Raw genomic sequence first — 18,855 nt, 5'->3', positions numbered from 1 at the left:
TCCTCATACATTCTCACAACAGAGAGGTAGTAATATTATGATGTTCTTTGGTGTACAAATGAGGACACTGAGGCACCAAGAGGTTTAGTAACTTGCCCCAGAGCAGTGAGAAGCTGGAGATGGAGGACCTGCATGAAATAGACCATGGGGCAGATGAGGGAACGTTGCTCAGAAGTGGGGGCCATGGTGAGAGAGTCGGGGGCATGGGCTTATTTGTGAATTTTTTTTACTATCTGTCTCCCAACTAGAGAGCCAGCTCCATGACTGATCCATCTCTGCTGAACACTCTACCCTCTAGCACCTGGCAAGGGTTTGGAGCATAACAAAGTCTCAACAAATGGAAGAGTGTGTGAACAAATGAAGAAATGAATGAATGAATGAATGAATGAATGAAGATTCAGGGTCACCAAGGGTTGAAGTTTCAGGACAAGCTGGCACACAGGATTTGTTAAAAAAAAAAAACCCACTCAGAGACCAGGTGGCTCATGCCTGTAATCCCAACATTTTGGGAGGCTGAGGTGGGAGGACTGCTTGAGTCCAGGAGTTCAAGACCAGCCTGGGGAACATAGAGAGATCCCATCTCTACCAAAAAAATACGAAAATTAGCTGGGTATGGTGGTGCGCACCTTTGGTCCCAGCTACTCAGGAGGCTGAGGTGGGAGGATTGCTTGAGCCCGGGAGGCTGAGGCTGCAGTGAGCTGTGATCGTGCCACTCCACTCCAGCCTGGGCAACAGAGTGAGACCCTGTCTCAAAAACAAAAACAAAAACAAACAAACAAACAAACAAAAATCCCCACTCAGACCCAGTAGCTCAGAACCTGGATGGGGGATGGGGTAGTCATAGAACCAGGCACCCCCATAGCTTTACAAAAAGGGGTGCAATCATATTGCTAACCCTTGCCCACGTTGAGGGAGGCTCCTCCAGACTTGGGCAGGAGGACTCCGGCAGGGCTGGCTCCTCAGCTGAAGGTCTCAGTAAACTAGGTGGCTGTCAGTCAGGATGGATGGAAGAAGGTTCATGCTTTCTCCCCTTGCCCGCAAGAAGCAAGCTCTCTCCCAAGGCCCCGAACACCTTGATTCTTCATTCCTGACTGTGAGCAACCAGGGGATGGATTCTTGGTCCCAATCTCTGTGCCTGGCATATAAAAGGTGCTCAATACATGTTTGATGAATGAATGAAATAATGTAATTAAGAATTTGAGGGGGCACGGTGGGGGAAGTTTTTTTGCTCCTTAGGACTTGTCCCCAATCACCCAGAAGACCACATTTGCATACAAATAATTGATATTCTAATTACGAATCATTCGTATTGATTTAGTAAGCAGATCCCCAAAGCATCTCTAGAAGATAATTAGATTCCACGCTTCTCAGGGGTAAGAACGGCATATTTACCTCATTGTTCCCCCATGGCAGTGTGAGGCAGAAGAACCGTGTGATAAATGTTTGATGAGGCAGTGAGTGAGCATGGTATTCACTGTGGGGAGATTTTACAGGGTCCCCACAGATCATTTCCAGTGTGTTGAGGCAGTTGGGAGGGGACAGGGGATGCGTTTTGTTAGTGTGTATGTCAAATTTGCAAATCTCTCTTTTGTCCAAGCCCTGGTGATTTTCCACCTCACGGCCTTCATTCATTGAGCAGACATTTGTGGAGGGGCACAGGGGCAGAACACCGAGGACCCAGAGACAAAAGACACGCAGACCCCCATCTCCCCCTGTCTAGCTAGGAGATAAAGCAGAGTAAGACAGAACCTTGAGTGACCCTACCAAGGAGTGGCTGGGGACGAGGGTCTTAGACCTCTCCCTGTTGTTTCTGTCTGCCTATCCCCAGGCCACCCCAAAGAAATGACAATAATACATAAACATTAACAAAGGATTATGCAACCAGTGAGTGAGAGCATCATTGGAAAACTTTGTTATTTTCATTGATCTGATTAGAAACTGTGCTTACTCTGCAAATGCAGCTTCGAATCCCCTCTTCCACTGTCCTTCTGACTAGTCAGCCACCGCAGGGTGTCTGAGAAGAGAAACTGCGCAGCAGCCTCTGGTTGCCAGCATCAGAAAGGAAATACGAATCCCTGAATGCCAGAGCTAGGGAGGGGTAGGGGGAGGGAGAGGCAGAGATGGAGAAGGAAATGGGAGAGAGAGAAAGAGAGAGAGACAGAGAGGGAGGGAAAGAGAGAGAGGGATGGGGGAGGGGGAGGAGGAGGGAGAGACAGAGATGGAGAAGGAGATGGCAGAGAGAGAAGGAAAGAGAGACACAGAGGGAGGGAGAGAAAGAGAGGAAAGAGGAGAAAAAGGAGGAGAGAAAGAGAGGGAGGGGGAGAGAGGGAGGGAGAGCTGGGGAGAGGGAGATATATATATATATATATATTTGGGGAGGGAGGAGAGCGGACGAAAGAGGGAGGAAGAGAGAGAGAGAAGAGGAAGAGAGAGAGAGAGAGGGAGGAAAAGGGAGGGGTAAGGGGGGAGAGAGAGAGATGGAGGAAGGGAGGGAGATGGAGCAGAGAGGGGGGAAGAGAGAGGGAGGAGAGAGAGGGAAAGAGAGACGGAGGGAGAGAGAGATGGGGGAGAGACAGAGATAGAGGGAGGGAGGGAGAGAGAGAGAGAGGGGTATAATGTGGGAGGGCAGGGGAGACCGTGGCATGGCATTGTAAGTTTCAGTTTCTCCATTTTCATTTTTCTGCTCCCCACTCCCAGGAATGCTTAGAGCCATAGATTATCAAGTGACTGTCACAACTTTGCTTTTGTATCTAGGGGAAAACCCCAAACAAGAGTAACTGCAATAGGTAAAGTACCTGCAGCGCTCTCCTGAAATCCAAATGCTCGCAGCAGGCCCTGCCATTTTGTGCTGAGAAAGGAATGTGTCTTTGCTATGACCGCTCCCTGTGCAGATCAGGCAGTAGGGAAATCATGGGCTCTGTAGACCGATGGCCTGGGTCCCAACCTGCCCTTCGCAGCGCTGTGACTCAGCAGATGTGTGGCCTTAGGCTGCTGGCAATGCCTTGCAGACAAAGACCCCCAGGACACATGTGTGGGGGAATAAGTTCAAAGTGCCGCCTGGGCGCTTTGGGAGTGTGAAGCAGTTCCCTAAGAGGGGTCAGAAGAGACTCGGGGATTGGGGATAATATTGGTGATTTCAGGGCAGGGGTCCAGGAAGTGAGCTTTGCTCTTGGTTAGGTGCTGTCGGGAACAAGACTTGGGGTCATACTGTGATTGCATCCACAAGGACTAGAGTGACGGAGAAGTCTTGTTTATGTTTTGACCCATCATGGTCAGAGTGGCCTTGTGTGAGGTCAGTGTCCTGTGACATTGCCGAAATTGTCTTGTGAAATTGTGGCCTTGTGTTGATGTCAGTGTCTCTTCGACAGGAGAGAGTATACCAAGGCCAGCTGCGAGGGCCAGGCCAGCTTCTGGCTGATTATCTCTTCCTCGCTGTCTGAGCCTCGGCCACTTCCTCATCTGTACGGTGGGGATAATGGAAGTTCCTGCCTCTTGGATCTGGGGAGGACTCAGTGAACGGATGCAAGTAAAGTTCTTGCTGCAGTGATGTTAGCTCTTATCACAAGGATGGCACACTCGTGGGGTCTCACATCACCAGGGATTTCAACGAGGTCCCTAAATCTATGTCTTATGTCAGAATCTGGGGGTCGTGTGATGTGTGAGCCTGGGAGCTCTTGTGTTCTCTGAGGCTGTTGTTGCAGCTGGGTTTGTCTGTCTTTGGGTACTTGGTGAAGGAAGTAAGTTCATCATGTAGTTGGGGTTGGTAAACCCCTCTTGTACCAAATACCCCAATTACATCTAGGAATTGGGGCACTGAAAACCGGTTCTTTATTTTTTATTTTATTTTTTTGAGATGGAGTCTCACTGTCACTCAGGCTGGAGTGCAGCGGCACAATCTTGGCTCACTGCAGCCTCCGCCTCCTGGGTTCAAGCGATCCTACCGCCTCAGCCTCCCGAGTAGGTGGGATTACAGGTGTGTGCCACCATACCAGGCTAATTTTTGTAGTTTTAGTAGAGACGGTGTTTCACCATGTTGGCCAGGCTGGTCTTAAACTCCTGACCTCAAGTGACCCGCCCACCTCGGCCTCCCAAAATGCTGGTATTACAGGCGTGAGCCACCATGCCTGGCTGAAAACCGGTTCTTCACCATCATTTTGAACTCTGTGAAGACATCCCCTCTCCTCCAATATTTACATGTTTTTAAGTAAAAGCCTGTGATTCTTAATTTGCAGCAACTAGGAAAAGAAAAATGTCATAAATACCTTCTGTTATTTCTTCCTGTGGGAAAGGTATCACCCAAAGAACCATCTCCCCATTTCTTCATTTCTTGGAAGATTAATTAATTCCCTACTGGGGTCCTGATTTATTTGTCTTGTGATAGTGCATGGCACGTGGTAGGAGTCCTGAAACCGTGTCCTGGATTTTCATTTATTTATTCCTGGGAGTCTAAGACGTAGGACTTTGCAGTGGCAGGAATGTTTTAATGTTTGACAAAACAAATAATAAATGAGGATGGCTCAGCCTTTGAAAGCAGGTACCTGGGAGGGCAGGAATGCAACCTTTGCCTGGCCTCAGCAGCTGCTGTGCTCTCTGCAACGTCTCCAGGGCGCCCCGCCTGCCTCCTCAGCTGTCCTTGCGTTCCTTCCCAGCCTCTCTGCTCCCTGCTCTGAGCATCATTTCTCTCGGTAAAACCCCTTTGAACCTATTATTCTCCTGCAGCTGGGGCTACAAGGAACCTTTTGTCTTTTTCTCATTTTACTTTGCAACTTAAGTCATTTTTCTTTTCTTCGTTTCGTGTTTATATGTGTACATGCATGCATGCGTGGGTGTACTATTTTGAAATGACGGCATTATGAAAAATAAAGACAAGCTTTTATATTTTTTAGGCTTTAATATAAAAACAATAAAGAATTCCCTAATGGACCCATGGCAAAAAAAAGCAGGCACTAAAATGTACATGGTTTTGTAACAAGCAGTTGTATGCTAAGGCTAATAATGGAATTTGTATGTTTATTATTGGTGCAATTAATAATATTGATTTATATAGCCCGACTGCTTGCCCTCATTAGCTATTCACAGTAGCCTCATAAAGTTTGCAACGTTATCCTTTAGCAATGTAAAATCACACACCAACTCACAGAAGAGGGTAGGCAAAGTTTAAGTACATTCACTGACTCAGCAAAAGACCGAGGAATGTCTTCCATCTGGCCTTGAAGCCCCTTTTAATAAATAACCCCACCGTCATACATTCTAGAGACCATCCCAAGTAAGTCCAATTTTATTCCACTTCTTGAAATGTTCTCTTCACAATTTCTGGATTTAAACTTAAACTTGCACATCCCTCCACTCCAGCGAATGCTGAAGAGCTTGTAAAGTTTTCTTTTTTTTTCTTTTCCACGTTGGCTGGGTTCTTCCTTCCATCAGGTGGCTGTTTTTTTGGGGGGAGACTTTGATATACACAATAATCATCTGCATACATGTACTGTAAGAGGCTTCAAAACTTGCTGTCCTTTCAGCACCCACAAGGTGGTTCACAGGTGGCTTATAAAAACTGCCACTTGAGGCTGGGTGTGGTGGCTCACATCCGTAATCCCAGCGCTTTGGGAGGCTGAGGCGGGTGGATCACGAGGTCAGGAGATCGAGACCATCTTGGCTAACATGGTGAAACCCCGACTCTACTAAAAATACAAAAAAATTAGCCGGGCGTGGTGGTGGGCGCCCGTAGTCCCAGCTACTTGGGAGGCTGAGGCAGGAGAATGGTGAGAACCTGGGAGGCGGAGCTTGCAGTGAGCCGAGATCGCGCCACTGCACTCGAGCCTGGATGACAGAGCGAGACTCCGTCTCAAAAAAAAAAAAAAAAAAAAAAAAGACTGCCACTTGGCCACCAACATTGCCCTCTCCTATTACCTTTAGAAGTAATTTAAGAACAGGGAAAGAAACCCACAGGGATCTCAATTCTCTAATAAGGGGTTTATCATCTTGGAAATAGGAAATATAAAAATACATTTAAGCATGCAAAACATTCTTGGTGGGATAGTTCATGATTCGAGGGCCTGGATATTAAGGACTGACTCAGGTCGCAAACTGCCCAGCTGGCAGAGAGCTTCCACGTCACCCAGCCCAGTCTGTTGTCATGTTTGTTTGTGTGTGTGTGTTTTAACTGTTGTGTATTCTCGTTTATATGCAAACTAGATATGACTTGACCTTATCACTTGAGCGGCTGATGGCAATTTTAATGTTGATGATAGTATACCACTGGAGCATATTCCACGCCCTAACGCTGTACATTAGCCTCTAATTTACATTCACAACCCCACAATTTTCTTCTTAAAAATGCCCTTTTTCTAACGGAGTGGAACCTTGTAGCTTTCCCCTTATATTTTCCATATATTTTATTTAAAAGAGGCCTGAAGTTTCATTCTGGGCTGAATATTAATAAACAGAAGTCTGACCCCCTTGGTCTGTTCCCACCCCTCTAACAGCAGTATCTGAGGTTCTGTTATCTTCAAGCACATTTCTCAAAATGTGGTCTCTGGATTTTTAAATTGTTTCTTGGAAGATGCTGAAAAGTTGTGTTTAAAATTTAAAAAATAAGCAAATAGAGGTCTGATTAAGATCATAATTAACAAAGTGATTCATTTTGACCAGGTGCTAGGTGAAAGCTTTCTTTTTTCCCTTCTTCTCTCTTACAAGCTCCACTGGTGTTATAATGAAAAGCAGTAATACTCCTGGTGGGTAAATTTTAGAAGGCTGATGATGCTTGGCTTCCCAACCAACACTGACATTTTTAGTGGAGAATCATGTTTTTGGCCAGTATTATTATAAGCCAAACAACTGACAGATTTAAAAGGCTCTGTGTTTTATAGTTTACCATCTCAATGGAAATCTGCTTCTTAAATTCTAATGGAAAAAAAAATCTGCAGTAAACTTTGAAGTTACTTAGAAATCTAGGTCCATAATTTAGTTCTTATACGCTCCAAGGCAAGCAGCTAGATGCTTGTGGAAAAATAAAGCAAGGCTGTTTTGTGTAAGCATTTAAAACATCCCTGTTTGTTTTGGGTGTGTGCTAATTTGTGTCTTCCTTTTTGGTGTAGTGATTCCCTTTTTCTTTTTTCTTTTTTTTTTTTGAGATGAAGTCTCGCTCTTGTCCCCAGGCTGGAGTGCAATGGTGCGATCTCGGCTCACTGCAACCTCCACCTCCTGGGTTCAAGCGATTCGTCTGCCTCAGCCTCCCAAGTAGCTGGGATTACAGGTGCCTGCCACCATGCCAGGCTAATTTTTTTTGTATTTTTAGTAGAGACGGGGTTTCACCATGTTGGCCAGGCTGGTCTCGAACTCCTGACCTCAGGTGATCCACCTGCCTCGGCCTCCCAAAGTGCTGGGATTACAGGCGTGAGCCACTGTGCCCGGCTGTGATTCCCTTTTTCTTGGCAACAACAAATGGGACTGGCTTCTGCCATAGTACTATCTTGACAGGGTGTAGACTAATATTCTCCTCTTTTTTCCCCAAGTGAGAGGCACCTGCATATTCTCCTTCTTAACGGGTATTATTTATGCTCCCTCTATCCCCTATTGTCCAAGAGGATTTAGGGCAGCTTGAAAAGATATGTATTAAATTTCAGAATGAAATGAAGCGGTGCTATAAAGTTTTGCACACTTGCCCCAAATCTGGCTCTAAGGTTTTTACTGACCAAATTGAATAGGGTGTGTGTGTGTGTTTAAAAGGAGAAAAATAAGACAAATTCAACTTCAGTGTATGTATTGAGCCAATTTTCACTAAGGATTTGAAGACAGGATTAGAGTGTGAGAGTTCCTGATTTTTTTTTTTCTAATAAGAAAAAATCCAGCCAGGCGCGGTGCCTCATACCTGTAATCCCAGCACTTTGGGAGGTCAAGGTGGGCGGATCACAAGGTCAGGAGATCGAGACCATCCTGGCTAACACAGTGAAACTTTATAATACAGTGAAACACTGTCTCTACTAAAAATACAAAAAATTAGCCAGGCATGGTGGCAGGCGCCTGTAGTCCCAGCTACTTGGGAGGCTGAGGCAGGAGAATGGCGTGAACCCGGGAGGCGGAGCTTGCAGTGAGCCACGATTGTGCCACTCCAGCCTGGGCGACAGAGCAAGACTCCGTCTCAAAAAAAAAAAATTCCACACATACTCAGGGTAAAAATTTTAAAAGTACAGAAGTACATATACAGGAGAAAGTGAAAACCAGGTGACAGTTCTGTGGGCCAAGCCTCTCTTCTCAGAGGTAAGTTCTGTTAACAGCTTGGACTGCAGATCTCCAGACTTTAAAAGCAGAAAATAATAATATCAAGTGTTAGCAAGGATGCTGTGCAACTAGAATTCTTGCACACTGCTGGGGGGAGCTATATTGATATTCCACTTTAGTTTTAGAGATGGACTTTTGCTCTTGTTGCCCAGACTGGAGTGCAACGGTGTGATCTCGGCTCACTGCAACCTCCGCCTCCCGGGTTCAAGTGTTTCTCCTGCCTCAGCCTCCCAAGTACCTGGGATTACAGGAACCTGGCACCATGCTTAGCTAATTTTTATATTTTTAGTAGAGTCGGGGTTTTGCCATGTTGGCCACGCTGGTCTCAAACTCCTGACCTCAAGTGATCTACCCACCTCGGCCTCCCAAAGTGTTGGGATTACAGGCATGAGCCACCATGCCCAGCTAAATACACCATTTTAGAAAACTATCTACAAAAGCAAAAACAAATACAGACATTGAGAATGTGTGTGTGTGTGTGTGTGTGTATTTCTCATGACCCAGTAATTCCACTCCCGGGCACATGCCCAAGAGAAACCTGTACAAGCCTTTACACCAGAGATGTATGTAAGGTTCACTGTGGTCCATTCATAATGGCAAAAATCTGGAAATAATCCAATGCCTATCAATATAGACTAGATAAATAAATGGTGGTTTATTCACATAGTGGAATCCTACATAGCAGTGAGAATGAATGAGAATACGACATACCATGTTGGATGAAAGAAGCCAGACCCATATGGAACCACATGGTATGTATATAAAGTTGAAACCAGACAAAACTCATCAGTGATGTTAGAGAAGGAGCACAAGGTGGGGCACCTGAGGTGTGGCAGATGTCCCACTTTGTGATCTGAGGGTTGGTTATGTGGGTAACCTTCGTGAAATTTAATTGAGCTGTACCCAAGATTCATGACATTTTTTGTAGGTTTTATACTTAAAAACATAGAAAAAACAAAACAGCAAACCAGCAGACTTATAGCAAAGTTATTTTAACTGAATCAGAAAGTGATTATCAGGGAGATGGCTTACAGAAATAAACCCTGTGAGATGTTTGTGCTTTGTTAATGCCGTGTTAAACGACAGCTACAGGCATCCCACCCGAACAGCCACATGGGATAAGCTCTTATTACCTTCCCTTTGTGAAGATAAAAGAAACACAGGTCAGAGAGGTTAAGGGCCTTGTCTAGGGCCACATAGCTTGGAAAGATGCTCTGATGAGACTCAAATCCAAGCCTGTTTGTCTCAAGCCCTCTCTGCTCTCTCTGGTTCCCTCACTTGAACTTGTAGGTACTCTTTGGCACACCTACACTGTACAGGCAAATGTGCTTCTACCTAAGAGGAACAGCAAAGAGAGCACGGGTGTGTGTGAGCCAGTGCTTCTGCTGGCAATGAAGAGTACTGGGGGTGCAGGGTTCAAGTCAACACTGGGATGGAAAGACTAGCATCTTTGATGAAATCCCCATAATAATGGAAGATGAGGGAAGACCTTTTCTTCCACAATCTAGGGCACTGCACCGTTCCTTTCTTCCAGGGGCAGCAAACTTCCCTCTAAGTGCTCACTGGTGGCCTTGCTGACCTGCTTCTAGAACCCCCATCTTAACTACTGAAGAGCAAGGAGAGGGAGGAGTTGTATAAGATAAGGATATGGGAAGCTGGGAAGCTTCAGATACCTTGGTACAAATAACTTGCTGCTCACCAGACACTACAGCTGTCAAAATTCTGGTACTTCAGTATCCAAAGGTCATTTAAAAATGACTTCAGAGTATTTGGTTAAGAAGAACATATGATGAGTAATATCACAAAGAGAAACCATTTGGGAGGCAAATATATATTTGTAAACATAGCATTTTATTAACAAAATGTTTACACCCTTCTTACAACAAAACAGTGATTTAGCATGTTATACTCTATAAAAGTGTATTATAGAATATTCAAGCTAAAACAATATTATTTAAAAGTATGGCAAATCAACTTTCATTTGCAAACTATCTACTATGAGCATAGGCATGAAAACAAAAATCTTACAACAAAAAACAAAAGGTCTAGTTTTCTTTTGTCAGCATCTATAAACAATACAGGCATCATATGGTTTACATACACTTAGGTCCAGCCCAAGGTTAAGACTGCAAAAATAAAGTCTTCAAACATCCACAGAAGCTTGGCAAACCACCACTGCAGCATTCCATGACAGGTAACCAGGCCATGTGTCATGCAGTAAGTCCAAGGCCATAAATTTGGGCTGTTTATAATAGTGCTACAAAGCGGCCAAAACTGTAAGCAACTGAATTTTACTTTCGTAATAGATGCTTTTATAAAAAGGCACAAATATCTTATTCCTTTCATCAGGTCTTGAGAAGGCATGACATTCTTAGGAGAAAGAGAGATTGCTGGTAGGACGGCTTAGCTTTTTTTTTTGAAAAATGTCTAGGCTCATTGCCATAGCTGTTTTTCTTCAAGACTTTTAATTTGGACTTTTACACGCTTAACAAATGCTTTATTACAAATTCAGCGAAGTTCTGACCACTTATGTTAACTATCTTATTACCAATGGTAAAACAAAACAAAACAAAAAACCAAAACCCATTTTGTTAACTGGCCGTGTTCCCACGGTAAGCGAGCGCTGCTATTCTCTTTCTGAAGCAGCGGAGTTCTTCACCTAACACTGGCCTCTGTGTTTCTTATTTTATTTGTTTTAATGCTCTGGCCGGTTTTTTTTTCTTTCAAAAATGTTAAATTAAGAGTTGTACATGTCTTTGAGGTGCCTATGATATTTTGATACCTGTATCGAATGTGTAATGGACTGAATGAGGGTAACTGGGATTTCCTTCACCTCGCTTATCTTTTCTTTGTGTTGGGAATATTCTTATTCTTCTAGCTGTTTTCAAATATACAATCAATTATTGTTAAATGCAGTCTCCCTACTGTAATATCGAATGCTGGAACTATTCCTTCTATCTAACTGTATTTCTGTGCCCACTAATCAACTTCTGTTCATCCCCAACCCCAGGCCTGCGCATTTCTGACTGTGCTTGTTAGAAAAGCCCCAGCTGGAGGGGGTGAGCAGTCCCTGTTGCTGTGACCACGGAAGGCCGCAGGGGAAGGCAGATTACATATGCGAAGGAGGTGTCTGTGGCCATGTGTCTTTAAGGGAGAGCCCACAGAAAAATGAGCCTAAGGGAAATAAAGCGAGAAGTCTGCTTCAATCACAGAGACGGTAAGGTGTAAATTCTTAAGAAGGTCAGAGGAATGATTGACAATTATGTGAGTGACTCACAAAGTGAAATGATGGAAAGACTGAACTGCATGAGAGTTAAAAAAAAAATCTTTTCCAGGGCAATAAAGCTCTGTCTACACAGCGTAACGAATGGTTTAAAAATAGGGCCACCACTCACGCCTGTAATCCCAGCACTTTGGGAGGCCGAGGCGGGCGGATCGTGAGGTCAGGAGTTCGAGACCAGCCTGATCAACACGGTGAAACCCTGTCTCTACTAAAAATACAAAAAATATTAGCCGGGTGTGGGGGCGGGCGCCTGTAATCCTAGCTATTCAGGTGGCTGAGGCAGGAGAATTGCTTGAACCTGGGAGGCGGAGGTTGCAGTGAGCCGAGATCGCGCCCTTACACTCCAGCCTGGGTGACAGAGCGAGACTCCGTCTCAAAAAAAAAAAGAAAAAAAAGCCACCCATCAGTTGCTCTGACTAGCCAGCTGCCGATTAATTCACCCTGTAAAGAACTGACCAGTCCCTCTGACATCACGTGTATGAGCCACGTTAAGACAGTTTCACAAACTCTAATGTCATAAGTTCATATACAAGGTAAGTGAATATAAACAAAGTCAGTGCTGGCTTCAAAATTTTTCAGGAGTAAAACTGATTATTCAAGTATAAACTTAATTAAAAATTAATGGCCAAATGATACTAGGATTAAGCCCCAAAGCAAAGTCAAGCACCACCATGGGCATGGGCACAGGGACTACTCATGCCAGTGGGCCCCACTCTACTTGGGTGGCCAGTGGCCTCTGAATTGGCCTAGAGGAAGAGGTATGCCCAGCTCTTCTACAAGATGACGTTAGATGCTGAGGGGTTTCCTTGACAATTTCAATTTTGGCCCTATGTGTGAAATGCTATTTTAAGGATGATTTCCTCCACAGTACTGCATTCAAAAGCTTCCCCAAACAATGAAAAGTTCCTGAATCAAGCAAAAAGCGGAATCAGTAAAACTGGCATGTTTTGTTTGTTATAATATTAATGTCTACAGCTTAAAACTGTCAATTAAGAAAGGCCCTTTAAAAAAATCGTTACTGGTTGGGCGCGGTGGCTCACGTCTGTAATCCCAGAATGTTGCGAAGCCGAGGCAAGCAGATCACCTGAGGTCAGGAGTTCGAGACCAGCCTGGCAAACATGGTGAAACCCCATCTCTACTAAAAATACAAAAATTAGCTGGGTATGGTGGTGCACGCCTGTCATCCCAGCTACTCAGGAGGCTGAGGCAGGAGAACTGCTTGAACCCAGGAGACAGGTTGCAGTGAGCTGAGATCGCGCCACTGCATACCAGCCTGGGCGACAGAGTGAGACTCCATCTAAAAAAAGAAAAAAAAAAAAAAAGAAAAAAAATCATTACTATCTTACGGCTTTTAATTGGCTGATAGGCCTTGATACTTGAATTCTTGCTCATGAAAATAATTTTGTTGTTTCAATTATGATGCATTTTGTGGAGTACTGGGCACCATACAGATCTAAAAATGAACTTGCAGTAAATTAAACACTTTTTGTTAAATCTGTTAGACACCACGGTTTTAATTTCACCATATACTAATGATACATCTTAATCTTACTATCTAAAATGTTCAACGTAATAAAAGGGATAGATGGAAGGTTTGGGATTTTTGTTTTTTTAAGCTTATGAATCCTTTTGTTTTGAAGCCAAAAATATTCTGGCCTATCCATAATTGATTATACTCTAAAAGGAAAGAAAACAGATATTAGTTATTTCTGATGGTATAGACCATCAAATTAAACCTGATCTATGCTATTGGAAGTCCTTCGAGATCTGGAAGGTAAATCATTTTCCTATATGCTAAGAGAATCCTGAAAGACCAACAGAGATAGATGAAGATTCTTGGTTCTATTTATTCACTTCCCACATTATGTCCAATGCAACTTCATCACAATAGGCCTCTCACTTATCATTCTCTTAGACTGAAAAAATGGAGGCTCCTGAAAAATGTAATATCTTCCTCATATTTTTTAGACTTTCATTTGCACATAAAACAGGACAAATGCCCCAGAATTCCATTAAAGTTTCTTGCAAATCGGATAATCAAACTGCCTGGATTTATATTATTAGAAGTCAAGACAAGCAACTCCGCTGTCAAGAGAAATTCGCAGAGGTTGTTTCTTTAAGTTCTAGGCTAAATTCCACCCCCAACCCTTTTTTCTAAAACTATAAAATATGATGTTTATCTCATGGATAAATTTGTTTCTTAGACTATTTTTTTTTAAATCACAGCACAGCAGGAGTTAAAACAAATATCCTAAACATTACCTTGAATCATTTAAAAATCCTTTTGATAAACCAAGCTAACTAGAGGCAGGTATACAGTTAACAGCTTGACCCCTGAAGGTACATTCCATTTCTTCCTTTAAAAAATATTAACTGTTAAAGAGGTAGAAAAACTCTTGAAGTTGAACGGTAAAACTGTCCCTTTAAAGCAAATGTAAATAATGACTTTCACAGGTTCACTATCTAGTTTGTCACTGAACTTTCATTACAGAGTTAGAAGGAACATTTATAGCCCAGTGAGGTTAGAGAGGAGAGCCAGCCTGAGTTTGTCATTTCCCAAATGTTCTAGAGCAAGTACCAAGTATAGCTCAGTTAAGGAATTTCCAATAATTTTTCCCTGGAAGAAAAGGGTTTTCACAATACTTACACAGGTTCCTGCAGAGACACGTGGATGTTTAGGGGGGCTCATCCGTTACTTAAGTAACATACTGTGCACCTATATCTTATACTCTTAAGGGCCCATAAATCACATCCTTGATGTATTCTGAAAGAATAAGTGAAAGTACCAAAAAGAATTCTGTAACTCACTCTTAGAATCTAAAAGATGCCTGTAACCATGAGCAAATGCCTTTCTGAGCTGGAGGCTGACATGCCAATTAGTGCAGTGTCGTCGGAATCTAAACTGCTTATTTTAACACAATGCCCTAAAAATACTGACATTTTGGTTTGACAGTTACAGGAAAGTTAGCTAAAGGATATTTTCATTACTATATTTCCCAGAGTTTAATTTAGAAGGCTTCCTAGACCAATTTTCCTCCTTGAGAACAGAAAAGAAATACATACAAGACGTAAAGAGAAGTTCTGAAATTAAAGTTGGTTTCCTTTCCCTTTAGATATTTAAGAATAAGAGGAATTGACAACTTCAAGAAGGACACCAGCCCACATAGAGGAGGCGCTCAAGCCTCTCACACAAAAGTCCCGATCCTTCCAGACATCCAGAAAGTGCGTACACAATGGGAAACAGGGACTTCAAACAACATCATAAACGGGTCACAAGAAAATAAGTTACTTTGAAAAGAACTAAATCTTTCACCTGCTTCGTGTAAAACTTATTCTGACCACGGCTGACAGGCAGGTGATGGACACTTAATCATAATCTTACTTTATGTTCTTTTAATCACCAGATGATGGTTAATTAGTTATCATAGAATCAGAAAAACACTTGTGTGAGAGTTCTGGAGACCATTGGTTTCTAGGATTGGACGCCTGCAAAGAGCTTATTTCAATTTCTCCGAAAAGAATCAACATACAGTAGCAGCTAATTAATAATTTTTCTCTTCTGTTCAGTCCTGAGAGTTTTAAAAAAATGGCCCTGTATCGTAAGAAAACCAAACATGTTTATAGATGGGAGTATGTCTCAATTCCTTTGAAATATAGCCTCTTCTCCATAAGAAATTATTATAAAGAAAATATGAAATGTGTATTAGATCATTGCTTAGTCAGCTTAATAATCCAAAATGTGTTCAAAATGAAACACTGCTTCTGACTTTAGTATTCATCTTTGCATTTTAGAAGCAAATAAAATAAGTGAAAATATTTTTTCCCTGCTTTCACTGAGTATGGATTATGGATCTGAGAGAGCAATTTTTTGTTGTTGTTGCTAAGCATTAGAAGGATATTACACGAGAAACAGTGCCGAGTCAAGTTCTTAGACAGACTGATGAAAATGAGGGAAGAGGCCCGAGAAATGCATAAGTACAAGCTTCATATCACTCATTCTGTTAATAAAACATGTGGCTATAATAAAACAGAATCACACCCTACATATGGGAGGGAGGGTGAGAAATCATGAAATCAGCAAAGGGCTGATGAGATGGACCCACATTGGGCTCGGTACAGTAAAACATCACAGTAAGATCAGACACATCCAGATGCCTCACCAGTTAAGATGAGCTCAGAAGACCTTGCCTTTCCCCATGCACCGAGACACCATGCAATCACCAACAGCTACTGGTGGGTGTGGTGGAAAAAATGTGAAGGTCATAGATTTGCACCATCTTTTGGTAAAATAAGACAGAAAGGGTCGCACATGCTTTGCCTCTTTGGTAATGAGTCAAGCAACCTCTGTTTTTATTTTGTTGTCATGGAGATAGAGGCCCAGCAGTGGGAATTCTAGGGACACACCAGGGTGGTGCCCGGATGCCTGGGATCCATCTGGATGTATACAGAAGAAAGTCAAACTACTTTAGGTGTAAAGCGCCTGGCTCTGGGAATCACATGGCTTCTCTAGGAGCTTGCTAATTTAGCACCGGGGAGGAAGCAAAATCCTAGGGGCATGGAGCATCCACATGTCTTTTAAACAAAACGAAGTTAGAATTTTTACTAATGACATTCTTTTTATATGATTTCAGAAGATAAAAAAAATTCCAAATGCTTAAGATATACAACAGGGAAAAGGGAATTGTTTTTTATTTAATCTGAATTATAATTTTCCCATTAAAATCTATCCATATTAAGTGGGGGGCACAAAATAATACCAATTATTTTTTAAAGTTTCAGCTGTTCAGTTTCAGGATAGCTCTGAAAATACAATTTAGTTTGAAATTCAAGCTGTTTCATTTCCTATTAAATCTTGTAAATTTCCTTCCCCTACAATACTCAGGTTGGAAGGGTGCCAAATTAGACCAGGAACAAATTTTCACCAACTTCACTTCAATGCTTTATTTTTAGATGATATTAAAAACCTCATTAGGCTCCCTGAGGGAAAAGAGTGTTAACCACTAACAGAGGCAGGGGAAAAATAAAGGAAACAGAAAGATAAGCTAAATTGTTAACAAGGAAAGCTCCTCAGTTGGTCTGAGGATGCTGTACAAGCTAAAAGAAACTTATTACCAAGACCAGGTAAATGACTTGAGGTTGGAGCTTAATCTTTTACCCTCAGGCTAGTAAGGACTAGTCAGGTTTGTCAAAGTGGCATATGTCTTTATTATGATTTCCAGATGGGATCTGGTGGGAGGCGGGTGGGTAGAAGGGAAGGCAGAGAAACCTTTAAAGATTGTAAGCTAAGTGCTCTATACCTTTATACAATACCAATGTGCTTGAGTCTCCCGTTAAGAGGCTGAAAACTGGGCAGGCATACGCAAGACTGGGTGCGAGATTCAATGGAATGTCAAATGAAACTTAGAATTTATTAATGTATTTACATAATTTATAATCTTTAAGCAATGGCCCCATAAATATAGACTACAACTTTACATATGCTAAGCAATAGATACTTGCTTTTCCCCACCAAAATACTTGGGTTAAAAAAAAATTGACAGCATTTATACCACCTTCTTCACTTCCACTCTTCTTCCTTTTTAAACCATTGCTAGTCATTTTAGAACATATGAAATTCAGTTTATTCCGGGCAGCTTCTCTACCATCACCATCTTGATCATGAGAGCTTATTTAAAAAGGTGCCAATAACGTGTTTGGTGGCACACACATGACAAGGTCAGAAGCAAACCCAGGATGAGCTAGGCATCTGCTGCTATCATTGTTAATTTACTGTACGTATCCTAGGCTAACATGTTCAATGAAAAGTGCTTTAGAGATGGCAGAGATGAAATCATTTCCATCAGTCCTATAAATAACCCATTTTAGCTTCAGACAATAATTGTCCTCCCTACACTTAAACTATCCTACTATATGTTAAATGATACAACTCCCTCTAACAGTGGTAACAGAAACCAAGGAAATTATAATCTCCACAAGGTCTGTTTCTTTTCCCTTAAGAACCACAAAAGTGCTAATTTTCCCTTTACAAATGTTACATAAAATCTTGATTACAAAACTACTCAACAACTTAATCCTACCATCCATACAATTATATGTTCCTTTTCAGCAAGGTCAAAAGCCAACGATGTAGTCCCTTTGTACACTAGAGATTCTTTACATAATAGAAGTTCACAGACTGAAATATCATTGCTGCAGTCTTTGGAGAACAGAACTGGTCCATTTCTGTGAATCCTTTTTGCACGGAGAAGACTCAAGACTGGCTAGGTGAAAACTGGTGGCAGGGACCCCAGCCCTCCTGTTAACTTTCAGGACCACCTACTTCATCATCAAGTCTGAGAGGCTGAGGTTCGGTCAGCAGCAGCTCCGCTTTGGCTCTGAAGGCTGTCTTCGGAGTTTGAAGCCCTTACCGCCAGATGGCAGGTTGGCGTCAGTGGATGGAATTCTTCGACCTAAACCAAGATGAGAAAAGGGAAGGGAGTGAGCTTTAACTTTCTCAGACACAACAATTTTGCAGATGCAATTTGACAGGTTTCACTGAAGTAAAAAAAAAAAAAAAAAAGTTTAATAAACTTTTTATACTCGAATAATTTTAGATTTATAGAAAAGCTGCAAAGATGATAGAGCTCCTGTGTACCTCCCACCCAGTTTCCCCCAGTGCTGACATATTACCATGGGACATTTGTCAAAATGAAGAGTTCAACATTGCCACATCACTATTAACTCCAGACTTTTTTCAGATAGCATCAGTTTTTCTACATGTCCTGCTTCTGCCCCAGGATCCAAACAAGGATATCACACAGCACTTAGTAAACGTTTTTTAATTAAAAAAAGCCACACATCAAAAACATTTTGTTTTGAGTAGGTAATACATAGGATTTGTTTTTTAAAAAGTTCAGTCAGAACATGGTTGTCCCTCTGTCTCATGACAAGGCCACCACTGTGGCCCATTTCTCGTGTAGCCTTCCAGAGACATATATGCACAAACACTCAGGCACACCTATATCCCTACCCATCTCCCCTTTCCAAGGCCAAATGGGGCAAGAAATAAAGCAAACCATATGCACCATTCTCCACCTTGATACTTTCACTCAACACATCCTGGGGATTGTGGCATCATAGTACATGGAGAAAGAGCCGTCACCTTTTTTTTTTTTTTTTTGAGACAGGCTATCGGCTCTGTCACCTAGGCTGGAGTATAGTGGCATGATCTCGGCTCACTGCAACCTAAGCTTCCTAGGTTCAAGCGATTCTCCCACCTCAGCCTCCCGAGTAGCTGGGATTAGAGGCGTGTACCG

General features: G+C 42.5%; 1 protein-coding gene across 1 annotated transcript in view, besides 1 other annotated feature; it reads right to left on the bottom strand.

The window, feature by feature from the left end:
* Positions 4,256-4,757: an enhancer, noted in NCBI's record as "NANOG hESC enhancer chr20:56947914-56948415 (GRCh37/hg19 assembly coordinates)". NCBI's record gives its function as "activates a minimal SCP1, AML or CMV promoter by ChIP-STARR-seq in primed H9 embryonic stem cells {active_cell/tissue: H9 hESC(primed)}" and the evidence as "EXISTENCE:reporter gene assay evidence [ECO:0000049][PMID:30033119]".
* Positions 10,108-18,855, bottom strand: part of RAB22A (RAB22A, member RAS oncogene family) — a 57,793-nt gene continuing 49,045 nt past the window's right edge. The window contains exon 7 of the mRNA NM_020673.3: positions 10,108-18,009. Coding sequence (NP_065724.1) covers positions 17,912-18,009 — 98 coding nt within the window. The 3' untranslated portion in view covers positions 10,108-17,911. The remainder of the gene's footprint in view (positions 18,010-18,855) is intronic.

Source organism: Homo sapiens, chromosome 20, assembly GCF_000001405.40.
Source record: "Homo sapiens chromosome 20, GRCh38.p14 Primary Assembly".
Lineage (NCBI taxonomy): Eukaryota > Metazoa > Chordata > Mammalia > Primates > Hominidae > Homo > Homo sapiens.
This window is presented reverse-complemented; position numbering and strand designations above follow the sequence as displayed.